Source organism: Homo sapiens, chromosome X (assembly GCF_000001405.40).
Source record: "Homo sapiens chromosome X, GRCh38.p14 Primary Assembly".
NCBI classification, from domain to species: Eukaryota; Metazoa; Chordata; class Mammalia; order Primates; family Hominidae; genus Homo; species Homo sapiens.
The window spans coordinates 100,348,722-100,369,359 of record NC_000023.11 but is presented as its reverse complement, the minus strand read 5'-3'; the positions used below and the strand labels follow the sequence as shown (position 1 = coordinate 100,369,359).

Here is a 20,638-nt window from a genome sequence, read left to right as displayed (position 1 = left end):
ACAGATGCTCACCACTGACAGAGGTGGGGTTCCTAGAAAAGATGGACTGATGGCTGTTATGCTGTCTTCCATCTTCTTGAGACCCTTAGCAGCTTTGTAGTGGTATGCTTTAGTGGGGTTAGGAAGGAGTTAATATCTTGGAAAAACCTTGGATGTGGCTTGATTTCCTCTTAGGAATATTGAGAAGATGAACACATAGTGGGAAATTTTTAAATTTACTGGTGCTACAGGCTTTTTTCCAAAAGGCATTTGTAGTAGTAATAATAATAGTAATAATAATATGCCCAAATGACAGAAGAAATATTAACTTCTGAAAATAAAATTTCAAAAGGCAAATTTTATAATATGGTTGACCACCTTATTCTTTTTAGATCACCTAGGGAGAGGTCATTCATACCTTTATTTATTAATTCTCTATCTTCTCATGCCTTATTGATTTACTTTTCCAAAGCACAGCAGAGGAAACTTTGGGGGGAAGAGATAAAAGTAATCCCTGTTTGCACAGCAACACAATGTGTACATTGTTGGCTTAAGGCCTGTGGTGGACAGAAAGACTCTGGCCTTAGAGTCCTTCAGGCCCTCTTATCCAGGAAGAGAAGACACAGAAACATCGTTCTCAGAGTAGAGACAGTGTTTCTGAGCGACCCAAGATTTCTCGTTTCTTCTTGTGACCTTCTTCCTCTTTTGGGCACTGAATGGGGTCAGGCCTCTAGGGATGGCACACAGTTAGTTGGTGAGAGACAGGAAGGGACTCAGGGTCCAGCAGCTCCTGGAAGGGAGAAAGGTGACCCAGTAACTTTTCAGCTTCTTTTGGAGAAAAGGCACAGTGTCAAGCAATCAGGAGAGGAAGAAAACAAGCATAAAATCCACATCCTTAAAGTCCATAAATGGTGAAAGGAAAGCTCTCTCTGCTCCCCACCAAGTGTGGAAGTTTTATGGTGTATTCTCTATTCATAGGGCTGACAGAGAGTGGGACTGACCTGCTCAGGAAGGTGAAGGTCTCCACCTACAGGCTGCTGCAGGAAAGAGCTCAGTCTGCCTTTCCTATCCTTGACAAGGGGAGTAGAGCCAGTTTTCAGAGGCTATCCAAGCTAGGGTTGACTTGTCTCAGGACTCATCTTTATGCAAAGTCTGCAAAAAGAATTTGAAATTCATGAACATCTGACCACTGGAGAAAACCTTTACTGGCTCAAAAAATAAGTCTCTGTGGTTTAATTAGCTACCCCTTCGGATATTGATTTTTCTAGCACTTGTACAGAATGTAACTCATCTTCCAAACTTTACGGAAGAGCCAACCCAAATCCAGCTGGATTTGTGGCTGTAGAGAAGTTGCTTGATTTTATTAAGCATGGCTTACGTTCTGTCTTTCTCTCTCCCCTGACATTTATATGTAACTTGCAAAATCCAAAATCACAGCTAGAGAGAAGCAAACTCTTCCCCCAAACCAAATATTTTCCCTAGGTCTATCCCCCTTAGATCATATAGTCTGAGGGCACTTCTGATGGCATGTGTTACCCATGGAGGCTTTCTTCTCTGTTGCTCTCTCCTCCGTGCTCCCATGGCACACTGTATATACCACTTGCTATGGCCTAAATGTTGGTGTTCCCCACAAATTTATATGTTGGGGACCTAAGACCCAATGTGATAGTATTAAAAGGTGGAGCCTTTAAGAGGTGATTAAGTCATGAGGGTTCCACCCTTATGAATGGGATTATTGGCCCTGCAAAATGGCTCCAGGGAACCAACCAGCACCTTTTTGTCCTTCCATCTTCTGTCTTGTGAGGACACAGTGTTCCTCCCGTCCAGAGAAAGATACAGCAACAAGGTAACATCTTGGAAGCAGAGAGCAGCTCTCATCAGACACCAAATCTATTGATACCTTGATCTGGGACTTCCCAGCCTCCAGAACTGTGATAAATAAATTTCCTTTCTTTATAAATTTCCTAGTCTCAGGTATTTTGTTATAGTAGCACAAATAGACTGAGATACCACTATGGTAGCACTTACAACCCTGCATTATAATTGTCTCTCCATTTAACTGTCCCCAGCACTAGAAATGTGAACTCCTTGAGGGCAGGAGTGGAATCGGGTTAATCTCCAGATCCCTAGCGTCTCCCATGGGGCCTGACACATAGTCTTAACAGTATTTGTTGAATTGAATTAAATTATTTCAGCCCTGAGCTGTACAAGCTGTCATTTGTTCTGCAACAGTCAGTCGAGGACAGCTAGGGAGCATGAGGCAAATCTTTTCAATTGTGGGGAAGCCTCTGAATGATCTGTTTTTGCCTTTTTCTTCTACCCTTCTCATCGATTCCATCTATCCCTTTTCATTACTGGTTGCCTGCACCTTGTGCAAACAGAAGTCTTAAACAGTGCAGGATCTTCAGTGACTTTTTTGTCTTTTGATCCGGGGCTGATGGCTTTTCATTTTACTCATGCTTTATATGGCATAGTCAAGTCTGATTGAGACTTATTTGGTGGTAGGGCAGTCAGAATTACTGGTAGAAAAGAAATGCAATTTTATTACTTTCAAGTTCATAGAATGAGAAGAAGTAGACTAATAAAGTCTGTGCCAGGAAGTTTTGCCAAGTAGAAGTCCTTGGACTTGTTTTAATGAATAAATAAGAATGATGTGCAATTAACATACTTATTGTTTGTAAATTGCTTCTAAAGTGCCTAAAAACAATTTATTCTTGTTAGTTTAAACATTTTCCTTGTAACCTTGTTTATACCACAATTTGCCCAGCAAACCTTTATAAAAATAGAAACAGCAGCCTAGCTCTATCCGAATGCTCACCAAATATGAATTACTGAAATCTGAACTGCAAAGGTATGACTCCAACACGGGAAAGCAAGTAAGCCTGAGATGGATGCTTTTAGGAAGTGAGCAGAACAGATTTTCCCTTTTCTACTTAGGTGTTAGTTGCAAAGGCAGAAGGTTATAGTTAGTTGCTCAGTACTATTTAGAGAGGAAAAATGCTCCCTTCACCAGGGAGCAATACTTGTCATCATTCCAGCTCCCCTTGGTGGTCTAATGCCAGAGAGTTTCTTTCCACTGAGGCAGTAAAAATGAGAAAATTTACCTTTTAGATAATTTCACTACGATCAAACAATCCCCAGTGGGCAAAACTAATAGAAGATACTGTATTTTGATTGCAGTTTATCTCTAGCAATTATAAATGAGCAATTTAAGTGGCAACAAAGCAAGTTGTTTGCTAGAATGAGGCCGTATTTCACAGAGCTTTATCATTCAATATTCTCTGGATCACTCAGCTAAAGGCAGTCTATTTCCTTGGGTGGATCATACATCCTCTTTCTACAGTATCCCTAGGAACAATTACTTTTCTTAATGATAGGGTATTGAGAAGAAGTGATCTACAAACATAATTTACACTAATTTTCACTTTTTTCCTCCCATGAGAAATTTAGTTGACAAGACTTTGAGTATTAGGTTTTATTCTTCCAGGATTTCTTAAGAGAACTAACAAGAAGGAGCTGGGCAAGTAGAGAGAATGTCAGAAGAGCTCAGTTCTGAATCCATGCCTGAGTTTCCAATAACCAGCTGCGTTGCTTTGGGGGTGGTTGTAAGTTTCTCTGGGCCCATTTCCTTATCTTCAAAATATTGTGTGTGTGCACGCACACGTTTGTGTGTGCGCGTGTGCAAGAGAGATAATAGATTAGATGAACTCTAAGGTCATATTGAATTTTAATGCTTTACGAGTATATATTCTGTGATTGTTCATGAGCCCAAAGGGGAATTTTTCAGTTTTTCAAAGCTTTCAGTGGACAGCATAGCATTGTCAGGTTGCAGTAATGATTTCGAGAACCTTTGCAAATGACTACATTTGGCAATAAAGCTACTGTAGGCTCTACCATGGCCTGAAGAAATAATTAATATTGCATAAAAATATATATTTTTTAATTTATGAAGGATAGATCTCAAAAGGGACTATAGATTGAAAGCAGAAACAGTAAGTGAGCCAATTGGGCTTCCATTTTCTACTGTTTATAAATTTAGACTGGGTGGAAGGTCCCCTGGTTTGGAAAGAAGGAGTCTTAGGTTCTTGCTCTGACTCTGCCAGTAATTGGCTATGATCATGGATTCAGAAACTTTTGGGCCTCAGTTTTTCCATCTGTTAAAAGGGGAAAGGAGTATTTTGCCTATATACATCTGCAGACTGTTGTGGTTATTAGAAGGGAGCATAGGTCAAGGCTTTGTAAAAAAAAACAATTGCTATATTAATGCAAGGTGTTATTTGAGAAAATAATTTTTAAAATTGGGACATTGAGATACACAGTTCTACAGGTGTTTCTCATTGTGCTAGATTGTGAAACATTGTCTTTGAAGGTGTGGATTATATCATGTTCAATATTATGTATATTACACATTGGCATTTCAATGGAATGGGAATAGAGGGATGGGGAAACAACATTAGTTTGGTTTTGACTTAAAGCCAGTTTTTTCTACTAAGTTCTTGGGAAATGTTGAAAGAAATACAAGTCTAGGAAGCACATCAGCCTTTCTTAAAAGAGCTTTGCAAACTTTGCATTTCTGATTCAATCTATGAAAGAGACAGGTGAGAGGTTCCTATCAGCTGTTAATCAGTTAACCAACAGTGGGTGAGCATTTAGCCAGTGCCAGGGACAGTGACAGGCACTGAAGATACCAATACTAAAGGTGTGGTTCTTGCCCTTAAGGAGTTCTCCAACCTAGTGGGGGTGAGATATAACTAAGCAACACAATGTGTTAGGTGATGTGATAGAGGTAAGTATATTCCTTATATTTCCTTAGGTAACATTTCAGAACCGGCGAATCCTGGGTGACAAGCCTCCGGTTTCTCTCTAAGGTACTGCTGTCCAGTAGAACTTTCTGTGATGATGGAAATGTTCTATGTCTGCTCTGTCCAGGACATGGTAGCCACATGTGGTTACTGAGCACTTGGAATGTGGCTACTATGATTGAAAAACTAAAATTTTAATTTAATTTAAATTTTGTGAATTTAAATTTAACTAGCTACATGTGGCTAATGTCTATGCTATTGGACAGCACCCCCCTGAGGAATGGTAGTGTGAGCCCACAGTCAGGCTCCAAGGAGGTCCTGAGTTGGATCATAGAAAGCTCTGGTCAATTTGCCCCTGTCCTTTAACCCTGTTTTCCTATCCAAATACTGCACTAGCCCTTGAATGGCTCCTTTCCAGCCGACAACTCTGAATTATGCATGCTAATGTGTGTTACTCAACCATGGCATGAGGTTCCCTCACTCCCCTCCCCCAACCCTGCCGTAAAGAAAGGGTACTCTGTGACAGTTCAATCATGATGAAGGAAGAAAATGGGTCGAAGAAAACTAGTTTATAAAAGCTTTTAAAATGTCTGAAATCTTGCTTTTCACATAATTTCAGATGGTGTGAGGTAATTTCAACTCTCTTTAAGCTGAGTTTTAGCTCTCTTTCTCTCTCCCTCTCCCTCTCTCTCACACACACACACACACACACACACACACACGCACGCACATTCTACCTAAAGTGTCTGCTGTGGTAGATGGGGCTCCTTGTATTCCTATTGAATCAGCAATTAGAGAAGTTGGGTATATAATATATTTATTTTATATATATATTATTTATATATATAAAATAAATATATTATATATAAAATAAATATATTATATATAAAATATGTTTTATATATATTTATCATGTACAGAATATATATTATATGCCCATATATATATATATATATATATATAAAACTTCCCATGCCAAAAACACAACTCTTCATCACATTATTCTTTTTCTGATAGCGTAGATAAAGGGAGACTGAGATAAAATATCCTAGTAGGAAACCTCAGAAAGAAAACTATTCACAATATTCAATGGGAGTTTAGTTGGACATAGAAATAAATATTCAGAAGAAATCAAGTTTACGACCTGGTAAGAAGACTTGCCATTTGTCTGGTGATTCACAGTTTTGGAAAGTGCTTGCACATTTGGTCCTAAAAAAAAAAATCCCCTAGAAGGTATTTGGGACAGATATTATTTCCATTTTTTTTTTTTTTTTGAGATGGAGTTTCGCTCTTGTTGTCCAGGCTGGAGTGCAGTGGCGTGATCTTGGCTTACTGCAACCTCTGCCTCCCGGGTTCAAGCGATTCTCCTGCCTCAGCCTCCCGCGTAGCTGGGATTACAGGCATGCGCCACTACGCCTGGCTAATTTTTTGTATTTTTAGTAGAGACAGGGTTTTATGTTGGGCAGGCTGGTCTCAAACTCCTGACGTCAGGTGATCCGTCCACCTTGGCCTCCCAAAGTGCTAGGATTACAGGCGTGAGCCACCGCACTCGGCTGATATTATTTCCATTTTATAGATTAGGAAATCAAGAGTCAGAGAGGCTCCATGATGTCTGCAAGGGCACACAGCTAGTAAGAACTTTTTCTATTTTCATCTTGAAGGCTCTGTGATTGGAGGCTTTGTAGGATTTTTCTTTTACATTTTTTTCTTATGTGCTTTTTTTTTTGAAGCTTATAACCATCTGCAAGAAACAATCACCAGAGTAACTTTTTTTTTTTTTTTGAATCGGAGTCTCGCTCTGTCTCCCAGGCTGGAGTGCAGTGGCGCGATCTTGGCTCACTGCAAGCCCTGCCTCCTGGGTTCACGCCATTCTCCTGCCTCAGCCTCCCGAGTAGCTGGGACCACAGCACCCACCACCACGCCCGGCTAATTTTTTTTTTTGTATTTTTAGTAGAGACGGGGTTTCACCGTATTAGCCAGGATGGTCTCAATCAGCTGACCTTGTGATCTGCTCACCTCGGCCTCCCAAAGTGCTGGGATTACAGGCGTGAGCCACTGCACCGGGCCCAGAGTAACTTTTGACCCTAAATGAAGCTGGGTCTACCAGGAACCAACATTTAAAAATACCTATACACAAAGGTACATCATTGTTTCCTTCACAAAAATTATATATAATATACGTATATATAGACACACACACACAGTTAAGAAATGACTGCCCACACCTGTTTCTACTGGTTTAGCCCCGATAAAAGTGTTTCTTTGCTATCAAATAGACACAGGTATTGAGCCGACCAGGATGAGGAAAGGGTGTACCAGCTTCCTTCGAGAGAAAGGTGTGTACATAAGAGTGAAAGAAGAAAGGGGTCTCTAAACATATTTGAAAAATTGACCAAGAGAGAGCTGTGGAGGGAGGAAGCTGAGAACAATGTGGGGAAAGGAAAGGACACATCAACCACACTGGTTGAGGAGTATGCTGTCTGACACAGTACAGCGTTATGTTTCTGACAGTGTTAACTTTTGTTTTTTGAAAGTTAAGTTTAAAATTGGTCCTGATTTTTGCTGCTGGGAGTCTGATGGTAGAGGTAGAGTGAGGTGTTCCCCTCATTATTTCATTTCTTAATCTTCCTGCAGGAGGAAATTGCTCTGGTTGTGTTCACTGCCTTTGAACCTGTCGTGTTTAAGCAGGCTAGTGTATTTTTTTTCTCCCAAATAGTATACCTCGTCAGCCAGTCCTATTTACTTTGATTTCACTGCATTTTCCAGAATCCTAATGAGGTGTGGCCTAGTGGTGTGAGCGCAGGACCTGGCAGGAAGACTCTCAAATTCTAGTTGCAGATGCTAGATGCTTCTATGTAGTAGAGGGCAAGTCTCTTGACCTCTTCTGTAATGCCGTTAACAGGGTTAATAATATTTATTTAGCTCATAAAGGCAGCAGGGGGATTAAATAGTTAATGTTGTTTAAAAGGCTTTGAGAAAAAGAAAAGGCAAGTTTTTTTGTATTGTGTGCATTTTCAAATGCTAATTCTTATTAACAGGAAGCATCTGCTCCATTACGGTCATTCAGCACCTCATGAAAGTCTTGCTGGCTGGATGGGAAGGAAAATTCTTCAATTTTGTGCCATGAGATCTGAGAAAATGTAGCTACCTTCAGCCCCAGTTATGAACTTGGATGTCTGTTTTCTCCCTATCTAAAAACATTCTTCTTCTTTATGTGGTTTTTCTAAGGTTTAGTAGTTTTTCTCTCTTTTGCAATCTTTTATGCTTACCATTACTGGTGCAAAATGACTATTGTGTTTCAGCTGTGGGGGGAATGAACCCTTTTTATAATAGGCAGTTAGACATTCTGGAAGTCTTTGTGATAAAAGATTTCATAGAAATACAAGGTGCTTCAGTAATTGTTCTGTTGGTGCCTTGCATAACTGCATTACAGATTTCTAATACTCTGGCAGTTTCAAGATGCTGATGATATTAGCCACTTTGTGAAGGGTAATTATGGCTTTCTATGCATGGTTGCCAGCACTCTCATGTCAGATTATAGTAGCCTTTTGGTTAATCTCTATTTTAAATCAGATCAAATTCTAACCCACCCTCATCCCTCCTCATCCCCCTTCCCAAATAAAATGAGAAGCACTGTGAGGATTTGGGAGAAGGACAGGTGGGGTATTTTAGAGAATGAGAAAACATTTCTATTATTATTTTTTGAGTCATCTTCTTATTGCTTGTCAGTTATGGTTTATGAAGTGATGCCAAAGTATAAGGTCTATCTTGCCTCCAACGCTGATTTGCTGCAATGCTTGTTTAAGTTGCTAGAAACTGGAGGCTCCTGTGGGTTTCCTTCTGTGCCTAATAATTTCAACAGAGCCAAATGCCCTTTATTTACTACAGTCATAATTAGAGGGCTGCCAGTGTTAAGCAACCATGGAATCTGAGTTTGAGAAATGTTTATTGTGCCTCATTAAATCTGAAATGAGTACTTAAAGGTCAGAAATAAATAATCTGTTTATATTTTTTGTGACAGTAAATATAAGTGAATGCTGTGTGTACATATCCTTGACTCTACTCATTTCAGTGTACTGAGACACCCCTCTGTTTGCCAAGGCAGTAATCACAATATCTGCGACAAAAGAGAACTATGGCAGGTTTCATTGATCACAAACAAGAAAATGATCTATTGTATTGTATCTAATTAGAAAACATCAATATTAGAAGCTAATGCATTCACTGTTTCCAAGATGGTCTATCACTTGATTGTTTTTTGTCAGCATGATCACATTTTACGGGCTTGAGCAACAAGCTGGTACAAGGGAAATGAATTTAGAATGATATGCCAAAGGCTGTTGCTCCTTCAGTCTTAAATAAGCTTGTAGAGGCAACTGGGTTTTTAGTGGCACATAATATAAATAATGGGATTGGGGTTGGAACAGAATTTGGGGGTGTTGTTTTGGCCCAAAGGCACAAGGCCACCCACCGCTTTCTCTCTAAATATTTTGAAAGTCTTTTCAGCTGACAAAGCTTACTCAATAGAAATTGTACTCTGCACACTCCGCAGGCAGTCAGGGCTCTGTAGCTGGTAAGTGGCAGAGAACTGAGGCACTGATATAATAGAATTTAGCAGAAAGGAATGGACCAGCTCAGGTTCTGAGGGTGCTAGTCCTTCTGTGAGCCAGAAGGGCTCAAAGGTAGGCTGGATCCAGGAGAGCTCATACTGTGGGTTTCTGGATCCCATTGCTTGTGGGAGATTACACAGACACACACACACACACATACACACACACACACACACTCTTATATGTGTGTACATATATGTATATATATTATGTATATGTATATATGTGTATATTTATTTCTTTATTAGAGATGGGCTCTCGCTATGTTGCCCAGGCTGGTCTTGAACTCCTGGCCTTAAGCGATCCTCCCACCTCAGTCTTCCAAGTCATTGGGGTTACAGGCATGAGCCACAATGCCCAACCCTCTTGTGGGAGATCTTATATGGGTTTCTTATTGTCAGTTTGACCAGCTTTACCAAATCATAGCTTCTAAAATTGAAACCACCATCATGACTATTAATCTTACATCTTAGGTCACCTTCTAACAATGGTTGCCATTGCCTCTAAAGGGCAACCAAAATGGTCACCAAGGTTTCAGGGAACAAAGTGGCTCATTTCTGGATCCCTTGGGCTCTGTGAGTAGGCCCTCCAGCTAGGTCTGGAGAATGATTTCCAGTTAGTGTGTGCCAAGTTTTTCCTTTGTCTAACTGCTGGACTATAGTCCCCTGACTCTTTCATTGGAATTAGCCAAGGAAATCACTCAGAGAAACATAGGTAGGAAGCAGGCTAATCACTTCCCTGATGTTACTGTTTTCTGATTGCTTCCTATCCCAGTAGCAGAAAATGCCAAAAACGGTGCTCCTGGGGTTTCTCTTATTGTCCTTGTTGCGGCATGCTCTAGCTGAGTTAGTACTTAATGTGGCTGTAGCACTTAACGTGTGTGTTTGTTTTCATGGCTCTTTAAAGGGGAAATAACAGTTGGCACTTGCTTGTAAAGTGCTTTGATATTTGGGGATGAAAGGCACTCTGTGCCTGCAAAATAGCTTTAATGTGTTGTAGTTACATGTTTGGTAGGGCGATTGGACTCCAGAATTTGTTCCACTGGCAAATGTGGTTGAGAGCTATTTGGTTCTCCATTAAGTTCTGTTTACATGGGATTAAATAGTTTGACTTACATGACTGAATTTTTCATTTTATTTGCTCTTGAGGTACTCTTACTCATACTGAGATATTGTTGATTCTGCATTTGTACATATAATAGGCATTAACTGGTTCCAGAGAGCTTTCTATAAGCAGATACTATTTCAGAGTGCACTATGCCCCACAAAGGACTTAGAAAAGGGTCGAGGGCCTTATTCAGAAGCCTGTATTTGTTTTATGGCATGGTGTTTAAGCTCGTCTTTCAGCAGGCTTTGAATTGTATGGTTTACTGCAGACAGCTGCTAGGTTTCTCAAGGAGGCCTCTGTAGTGAAATTCACAACTGGGTTGCTCTTCTAAAGGCATAACTTTGACCCAAAGATGAGAGCAAAGAAAAGTGCTTTCCCTAAGCCATCTTTGCCACCTCTAGGTAGGGTGACCACATCAATGGTGCCAGTGAAACAATAGGAATGACGATGAGAGGCTGCTAGGAGGGGAATTCTTTCAATTTAATTTGTTGAATGTTAACCACATGGCCTGTGTTTCTCATTGATAGTCCTGTCCTGACAGTCACTGGGATGCTAGAGTTGTTTACCACCTGTAGAAAAGTAGCTGCCACACTGTCCGTCTGTGACTCAGAGGTCTACATTCTGGTGAACCCTCGTCTTCTCACAGAAACGCTATCAAATTGGGTTCAGGAACACTATCATATGTTGTCACCACCATTCCCAGAGATGTGGCAGGACTGATGGAGTTAGATGGGCAGAAGGCACCTAACTGTGTCATCTTATCCCTTTCAGTTATATATAGGCTATTGTGTATTTATAAGGTAGTAGTTGGGAGTGATAACAGTGAACAAATTGTAACTACAGAAGGCAGTGTGCAGAGTGGATGCTTTCTGAAGAAGTAGAACCACCTTGGCCTAATAAACTTCGTCACCTGCCTTAATTGTGATAAGTAGCCTCATTCTTAATCCCTTCCATCTCTTCTCTGATCATTCATTGATGCATTATATGAACGCATGCTAAATGTTTAGCGTTGTGGCAGATGGCACAGGGACCTCAAAAGAGAGCTTCCAGTCCCGTTGAGGGATGAACTGACACACTACACATGAAATAATCATAGAACCTGAGGAAATGCATAATTACATTGTACAGTCTGTATACAAAGTGCTGAGAAAATGCTAAGGAACGTGGGATGATCAGTGATGGAGATATATTAGAAATGAGGGAAATTAGATGGCTTGTGTTGGATGACTGCTTAGCTAAGGACTTCATGTAGATTTAATGTTAATTGCAACAAGGAGCTACTGTAAGGTCTTGAAAAGAGAAGTGATGTGATGAAAATAGTGGGTGAGGAAGATTTTCCAAACAGCATTTTGCAGAATGAGGTAGAACAAATGCAGGTGAGAAAAAAATGACACAAGGTGATGAAGGCTGTGGAAATGGAGCCAAAAGGACAGATAATATGGGCTATTTCTAAGAACGTTATGAATTGTATAACCTATTTGATAGGATAGGGAGATTTCTTGCCTTTTATGATGGGGGTTATGTACATATGACACATATGAGGGCCAAATTCTCCCATGTGAGTCACCTACAGCCATTGAGCCATTAGGGTGTTATTTAGTTCTACAAAGTAGCAGTGTAATTCTCCAAGTTGCAGTCCAGTAGCCTGCGTACAAGTATATGCCTGTATCTGCAGGTACATAGGTGCCAGTCTGTGTATGTGTATTTACCTGAATGTCTGACATTTTGATCATCTCTGGTAAAAGATCCATTAGTTTGTGAGCTCCTTGAAGGTGCAGGCTATTTTTTTTTAATTCCCAGGGTTTGGTTCATGCTTACTGGATAGATAAATGAATAAATTAAGAATCACTTTGTTTTAGAAGCCTAGAATTGTGGAGCTTGAAGGCAACATGGAGTCCTTTTGGTTATTCTCCTCATTTTAAAGAAAGATAAATTAAGGCCTCAAGAGGGTTAATGTGATTCATCCAAGGTCATCTGTAAGTTAATGACAATCCTAGGGAGAGAATCCAGCTGTCCCCACTATACCACATTGCTTTCTGTAGTCAAACTGTGTGTGTTTGTGTGTGTGCGTGTGAGTGTGTGTGTGTGAGAGAGAGAGAGAGAATGAATTAGGGCTGGGGTGTGTGGGGAGCATACAACTGACAATAAGTGGTTAGTAGGAGTTTACCTAGCACGTTTTCTAGTTCAGGGCAAATATGAACTTTGTAATGTTGGCAGCTGGGGATGGTGCCTTTTATTCCACCTTCACTAATTCCTGCTTCAGTTGCTGCTGTCTGGATGGATGAGTCTTTGAATATACATTCTAGCTGGAGGCACGTCAGCTTTATTTTTATACAGAATTTGCATATTCATTTTTATGTGTTGGGGGTAGGAAGTAGGCAAAAACTATTTATTATCTCATTTCCAAAAGCCATCTTTGTGAGGAGATGACCATTTGAACATCTAAAACAGCAACCAGCTTTAGGAAAGGTTATGTGTCTTTTCATTATGGATCAATAGGCACAATTATCATTATTGGAAGTCAGCAGTTAAAAAAAGAAGCAGCGTTTTATAATCACTTTGTTGTGTATCTGATACGGGATTCCAGTTTTCCTGTTTTGATTGCTAAAATGACTTAAGAGTTAAAAACTTTAAAAAATTAGGTAGCAAATTATAGTTATAATGCTTTTCAGCTCGATGGGACTTTAAAAGTGTAACTTAAAAGTTCGTTCATTTTCAAATGAAAATCTAAAGATTTGAGTAACCTCAGTTTTAATCCCAATGTCTGCAACCTTTTTTTTTTTTGCTTGGTATAGTGACCTGGGATTTGTGCCACTGGACAAAGAGTCTAGTCCTGGATATCTGCATTTATTGGGCTTCCTTCTCCTTAGGTTTGAAGTCTCTCTGCTGATAAATGTGGTGCTGAGAGAGCTGCAGTCACTCTTCTAGAGACTAGGGCACGATTCAGTGAACTGTAAAAGTAATGCAAAATGACAATTAAAGTAGGGCATTCTCTGGTACCTTGGGGGCCTGACAAAGTGGAAGTATTTGACTTCTGATATGCCAGACTTACTAACGTAGAAATGTAATAACATATCCCCCACCCAAACGTCTTACTAGAATCCTCCTATATCCAGAAGGGACCTGAGAACAGCAAGTAGTAAGCAAAGAAAGCTCCCAAGCAGCTAACAAACAAACACAGAAACAAACAACGAAAATCAAAACATTGCACAAAGGTCCCTATATTAAAGATCATGTGATTTCCCCCTTAGGAGCGCAACATCTCAGCTGTCTATGCAGAACGTTACAACTCTTTTTTTTCTAGACACAAATATAATTGTATAGTTTCCAAGAACACAGTAGAGTAAAAGCATCAAACTTGAAATGGAAGAAAAGCTACTTTTGATATACCAACAGCACTGAAAAGTTAAAAACGCTGTGTTTGATAGAAGGTTGGTGACGATCCTATGTTAAAAATTAAAGACAAGAAAAAAACCACAGCAGTTTGGGGTCCTTGAGTATACAGGCAAAATCTGCATGGGGTAATAATTTACATTTATAAAGATGCTCCTAAGTAACCAATAAGTGGTTAAATTATGTTTTTTATACCCTATTTTAAGGAGGGCAACTTTGTGATATGTTTCAGAAACAAGGCAGATGGTTAGGATTTTAAATCAAAGTTTTGGTTCTTAAAGGATAACACCCTAAGCTATCTGGAAAACTGAGCTGTCTAGAATTATTTATTGTTTGAGAATTTTTAAAAATCAACATTTTATTAAACCTAGGTCATGTGAGACACCTGCTTTCAGTGTTATACCCAAGGATAAAGAATTCGAATTAGAAAAAGAATTTGTGATAAATATACTAAATAATAAGAAAGTGACTCTTATTTACCACTGAGATGAAATAAAAAAGTTTGCTCTAGACCCATTTTTTTTTAATGTGACAATTAGGTTTTTCCAAAGCAAATGTTGTTCTTATCTCTTTGCTGTGTTCTTGTGTTAACCTGGCTGTCTGATTAGAAATGGGGACATTTCCTAGTGAAATTAATGTGACATTTAGAGAAAATTTCCTCTCTCAAATGTTTCATGTTGTTTGCCATTTAGCATACTTAGAGAAGGTATTGGAATAATGTCAAGCAAATTTTGATTAAATAAGGCTAACTAGGAGCCAATACATTCATGCAAAAAAAAAAGCTCTTGTATTATTTTAAAGAATGTATTTCTTCTGTGGTTCTTTATCCCATATTGAGATGACCTTGGCAGGTAATCTGACAAAAGAAATGACATCTTCTAAACAGCTGGGCTTGCTTTAGAAAATGCAGCACATTAGGTCAGAGCCTGTGGCCAGTCCTTTGCTCAAGACAGTTACTTGCCACCCCGGAGGTACACTAAAATTTCCTGGAAAGCTTTTTAAAAAAATCACCCAGTGCCTGGGTCCAATTCCAGGCTAATTACCTCAGAATCTCTTGGAGTGGGTCCTTGGTGACAGTATTTTTATTTTTATGTTTTACAAGAAGAAGATTCTGAGATGATTCTCATGTGTAGTTAGGGCTGAGAACCACTGGCTTAAGACATACAAACTATTCATTAAGAAAATATTTCCTTCTTCAGGATGATCTGATGATCTGAGTCTCATCCTTTGCTCCACCAGAAGTGTGAAAAAATATACTCTCTCAGTGCACAGGAGTTGGGTTTGGGCATACACCTTGAACCAGTATGAGCTAGAACACTTGATGTCAGTATACATAGACCCATAATATAATAGCCCATCTATGGCCAGTTAACTCAGTTGTTTGGAATGTAGTACTAATGAGGCCAGAATAGTGTATTCTATCCAATTAGAATAATTCTGCTGCATAGATTTTTCCCATAACTGTAACCCAACTGCCTCACAAAGAGACCTGAGACGGATTACAAAGGCACAGGACAATGGGTGAATCAGCATAGCCCCATCCATTCTGGGAAAATCGGTTCTAGGAACCTGCCACATTGACTAGCGCTACTAATTGCATTAGGATGCAGCATGAGACATCTGCCCATGATGGTTTGTGCTGATTTGGGGGAATGATATATTTTCATTTGAAGGTCAGGACCCACAAGAATGGGTGGTTTATTCCTTTTGGAGTTAAAAAAGGAGGATAAAAGATAGGAAGGTTACAAGCTTCTATGATATTCTTCTCTTTACAGTAGCAGATCATGCCTGGCACATCTGCCTGGGGTTAACTGACCTGTATTTGGGGGAAGAATTGTTAAGGTAATTACTAACAAGCCCTCGAGACTTGTCTCTTCTCAACTCAGTGCCTGGGAGTGGGAATCCTCATGATGAGATATATTATGGCTTAGGACCAAGAAGTAGTATTTTCATTAGTGATACAATGTGCATGGTATTGCTTCTTTGCCTGAACACGTGGCTCTGGCACCATGCCTGGAGGTCAGGTCTCCGCGGAGCTTCATATTTGATGCAGAGTGCACACAGGTTCCATGCCTTCATTTGCAAAGATATGGAAAATTTTCTACTTGAGAACTGTCTTCTTTAAAGGCAGTAAAGACAGATTCTTTAAATACAGTAGCTTGGGTTGCTGCTTATCCTTTTCCTGCAAAGCCAGTATCCTCTAGATTTCCTTTTTGTATTTTTGTCTCTTTACCAATCTTCTTGAAAAAATGATTTAGTTTGAAAGATGAGATGGAACATGCATGTGCCACTATTTTATTGCCTGAATGAGGTCAAATTCCTGATCCTACTTGGAGTTAGTTGCAGGTTCTGTATAAAGCAGGGGATCAGGATTCCCACCATTCCTGTCATGGGTCTGATAAATGCAGCTGAAATTCTCCTTTGGATTCATGTTCTATTATCCCTATTTTACAGAGAGGGAAACTGAGGCATGCAAGGATTAAGTAATTTGCCCAAGATCGCAGAGTGAAATGAATATTTGAACTGCTGAGTGCTTAATCAATTCCGGGTTTTAACAGATGTATTAGTCCATTCTTACATTGCCCTAAAGAAATACCTAAGACTGGGTAATTTCATAAAGAAAAGTGGTTTAATTGGCCCGTGGTCCTGCAGACTGCACAGGAGGCATGATGCTGACATCTGCTTAGCTTCTGGGGAGGCCTAAGGAAACTTACAATCATGGTGGAAGGTTAAGGGGGAGTAGGCACATCACATGGCCGGAGCAGCAAGAGAGAGAGAGATGGGGAGGAAGGACTACACACTTTTAAATAACCAGATGTGATAAGAACTCATTCACTATCGAGAGAACAGTACCAAGAGGGATGGTGCTAAACCATTCATGAGAAACCGCCACCATGATCAAATCACTTCCCACCAAGCCCTACCTCCAACATTGGGGATTATAATTCAACATGAGATTTGGGTGGGGACACAGGTCCAAACCACATCAACAGGGTAGCATAATTTTTGTGGGGTAGTGAACTTCCCACTTGTTAAATTATATATTGTACTGAATATCGTAGATGAACACATTTAACCAACATCATTTTTACCTGTTATGTTGGTACAACGAATTAACTCAAAGAGTGTTTGTTGGTTGACTGACTGTTGGATAAACTTCTTCCAGCAAATACTTGGATTGTATTCCTAACACAGCTTCCAAGTTTGCCTCCTATTCCTGTTTGTGACAATTTCAGCATTCACTCTCTATGAAGAAACCAGAAATGAACTGACCCTTTTGATTTTTAATCCCCCAACCCATGCTTCCAATAGCATTAAAAATTGCTTGAGTTTACATTAAAAAGGAGATATAAACTTCTAGATAAAAGCAGTGTGAGTAGATATTACACAGTGCATCTTCAAATGAGGGGCATGGGTGGGCACATGAACATACCTGAGTAAGTGCAGGGCAATGTTGGGGTTTAGTTTCCTTTTAAGTACTGTCTCCTCCTCTCTCTCACACATTCACCGTCCCCCTTCCTACCTATTGTAGGCACTTGGGGTCTGTATTCTGACTGCTGGCTGTTTGGTGCCCATGTGGTAGCTGGATCTGCTATTGCCTGTTCTGTTTTCTTCTCCATCAAACTGTGAGCTCCTTGGAAGCAAGGGCTGCATCTAGGAGCCTAGTACAGTTAGTATCTGACAGGTAGAGGTCTGAGAGGAATCTGCTCTTTTGTTTGCTAGACAGAAATTGTGTTTCCTTTTCCAAACACTCCCAGTTGAAGTAATTTCAGAAGGCTCCTAAGGAATGGTGGGAACAGTGGAGATTTCTAGTGGGATGGCAAGAGGGTGGGGGAGATGTGTTTGGGTAGTTTCTAGATCATACAATGGTTCAAGAAGAGTGGTACTTTAGTGCTGGGGGCGAGATCCACTTTACTAGGACATTCAGTTACTTTAGTGTCGACTTTTCTCTGGATTTCACCCTTCTAAGGCTTTTCCCCTCTAGTTCTCCCAACCTCTGGGTGATCATTAGCTGTTTTTCCATCTCTTTCATCTGGCAGGTATTCTGCATTTGCTTTTATAAAGCCATTGCTCCAGCAGTCTGCTGTAACCAGATTAAACAGGGGTGCTCTAATGATAGGAGCTGAGACAGGGGTTTGCTTGCAAACTTCATGTTTCACATGAAAGGCTTTGGCACCCCCTGTGGACTGCCCTTCACCCTGTTTTAGGCATAGTATTTGTTTGCTTTTGTATCTGTGATAAAACAAAGGCCTTCCTGCATAACCAGTGCTGAGCAAATGTCTTGAAACAAAGGGAAGTGCAGAGTTTAAATCCACAGTGGTGTATTACCTTGCCTGCATTTCCATATCTTTGGAATAAATATTTTAACATGTTAATTATCTACTACTAATAAAAATACCTTTGAACTTCCAGTCAATTTGATGGGCCATAGAATTGTCTCCACTGGGGAATGGGAAGTAATTAGTTTCTGTAAGGATTGTAGGTCACGTTGTCTCTTCTCAGTAAGTGGTTGCATGGTCAGTAGCCAGTCATATTCTAGGGAATGTTTGTGCCAAGGCCGCCCTGGTCTGCAGCGGGGAGCTGCTGCCTCCACGGAGCCCCTAGGGCCTGAAGGAGGCAGAGGCTGCTGCTGCACTGTGGCCTTGGGTTCCAATTCACTCACTGCTTCTTGACCCAGAAGAAAAATTCCTTCTAAGTAGGGCAGTTCGAAATCTACTTATGAATCATCTGTGTAACCTTTTTAATTTTTTCTTCTCATTGCAGACTGAAAACTATTCTTTTGACTCCAACTACGTGAATAGCCGAGCCCATTTAATCAAGAGGTATGTTGGTTTGCTTGCTTATTGCTGCAACTAAGCTTGATTTAACATTAAAAAGCAAAACAGATTAAAATTTTTAAAACGTATTTTTTTGGGGGATTTTAAAATGAATGTCCAACCTACTATTTGTAGAAAGTTTGGAAAATTGAGAAAAGCATAAAAAAGTAAATAAACATCACTGGTAATTTCATCAACCAAAGGTAATCACTGTTGACATTTTACATTTCTTGGTATGAAAATGTACGTATAAACACTCAACAATAAAATTGGAATTATATTAAAATATAGTTTTATCTAGTGACAGAAATCTGATATTACAAATATTCACTATTTCTAATATTTCTAATTTCTAATATTATTTCTAATATTTCTAATGTGATATTAGAAATATACAATAGAAAACTTTCACAATCATGTTGATACCAAAATTCTTGTTGCTCTTCACTTTAAATAAAGGAAAGCCTTAAAAATGTTTTTCATGTAGAACTTCCCATGAGTTTTGAGATTGATGCTATTTCAACAACTTTGAAATCATTTTAAAGATATTTTAATGACAGAGAAGCCAATCCTTTCCTTTCTAGATGAGAGAGAAAAAGAAATTTGCCTGATTCTTCTTAAAATTTTTAGAAGTGTTTCAGAGGAAACATTCAAAGTTGAGATTTATGTGATTGGTTGATCATAATTTAGTATCCAAGGAGCCATAATGGATGTGAGTACAGAGCTGAATCCTGCCAAGAAAGATCCCATCTGGTGCAGTGGGCTGCACCCAATGGGAGAAGGACAAGGGGTTTGGGAAGCCCTCTAAAAGGTGGAAACTGAGCAAAGAAGAGAACCTCTTGCACAGAAAGACCAGTCCTAACCTTTCAAATGATGCCTGTATTGCTGTTTCATGTAAATATCACTTAAATGGTCCAGTGGTTATTCTGCAGCTAAAATTGAACTCTGAGTATGTTTGTTAAAATAATAGAAATGAAACAGAGAGGCCAGCAGGGTATGTTAGAGCTGTAGCAGAGAAGGCTTGCAAATTGTATTATTTTGCTGGCTCTAATCCCATAAATTTACATCACCAGAAGAGTAGAATTCAAGGAATAAACAAGCTTCAAGTAACTTGCATTCATGTCTGATTTAATTCATGAGGCTTCAGTAACCCCTAAAACATGCTAAGTTTATCTGTATTGGTCTGGAATTGCTTGTGACCTTAAGTGATGATCATTAGTTGTCTGAAAATGGGTAGCCCTTGTATTATCAGTGAAAGCACAGTTGAGAATTTTTTTTGAGGGGTTGGGAGGAATCCATTTAGAATATTTTCCTGGGTCACAGAATAAAAGCAAGAGGTGAGGAATTCAAAATTATCTGACGAATTTGTTTTAGAAAGAAAAAAATAACCCTCTTATGTGCACTGATTAGAGTGCCTTTGTAGCAGAAATCTGCTTTGTTTCTGCTTCCGAATTGTTATTTTCAAAGCTCCATTTTAAAACTTTGATAAAAACAGTGACTTGCCTTACCCTCACAGGTCCCTCGGGCTAACTCAGGGTACCTGGGAATTCTATAGCCAGGTTAAACAGATAACATGATGCTGGGCGCAGTGGCTCATGCCTGTAATCCTGGTGCTTTGGGAAGCTGATGGTGGAGAACTGCTTGAGGCCAGGAGTTGGAGACCAGCCTGGGCAAAATAGTGCAACCCCTCCCCCCCACCCCCCACCATCTCTACCAAAAAGAAAAATAAATAAATAAAATAAAAAAACCTGATAGTATGAGTCTGATTGTCACAGCCTGGAAGAAAGCTAAGACTCCCAGGGACCCTTGCATCTTACATCAGTCCTGACTATCCAATTTACAAGGTAGACTGATAGATAAAAACTTATGTTTGAACATTTATCTTTGGGGATACATGTATTTCCACAGCAGCGTTGAGACTTACTGGGAA

At 39.7% G+C, this 20,638-nt stretch overlaps 1 protein-coding gene across 3 annotated transcripts in view, besides 1 other annotated feature; it reads left to right on the top strand.

Moving 5' to 3' along the window:
* PCDH19 (protocadherin 19) overlaps positions 1-20,638 on the top strand; it is a 118,630-nt gene that overhangs the window by 40,914 nt on the left and 57,078 nt on the right. For all 3 annotated transcript variants that reach the window (NM_020766.3, NM_001105243.2, NM_001184880.2), the window contains one exon: positions 18,656-18,714. In NM_020766.3, coding sequence (NP_065817.2) covers positions 18,656-18,714 — 59 coding nt within the window. The remainder of the gene's footprint in view (positions 1-18,655; positions 18,715-20,638) is intronic.
* Positions 17,230-17,450: a silencer, noted in NCBI's record as "fragment chrX:99606908-99607128 (GRCh37/hg19 assembly coordinates)". NCBI's record gives its function as "represses an EF-1alpha promoter that drives an FKBP-Casp9 reporter gene in an ReSE screen in K562 erythroleukemia cells {active_cell/tissue: K562}" and the evidence as "EXISTENCE:reporter gene assay evidence [ECO:0000049][PMID:32094911]".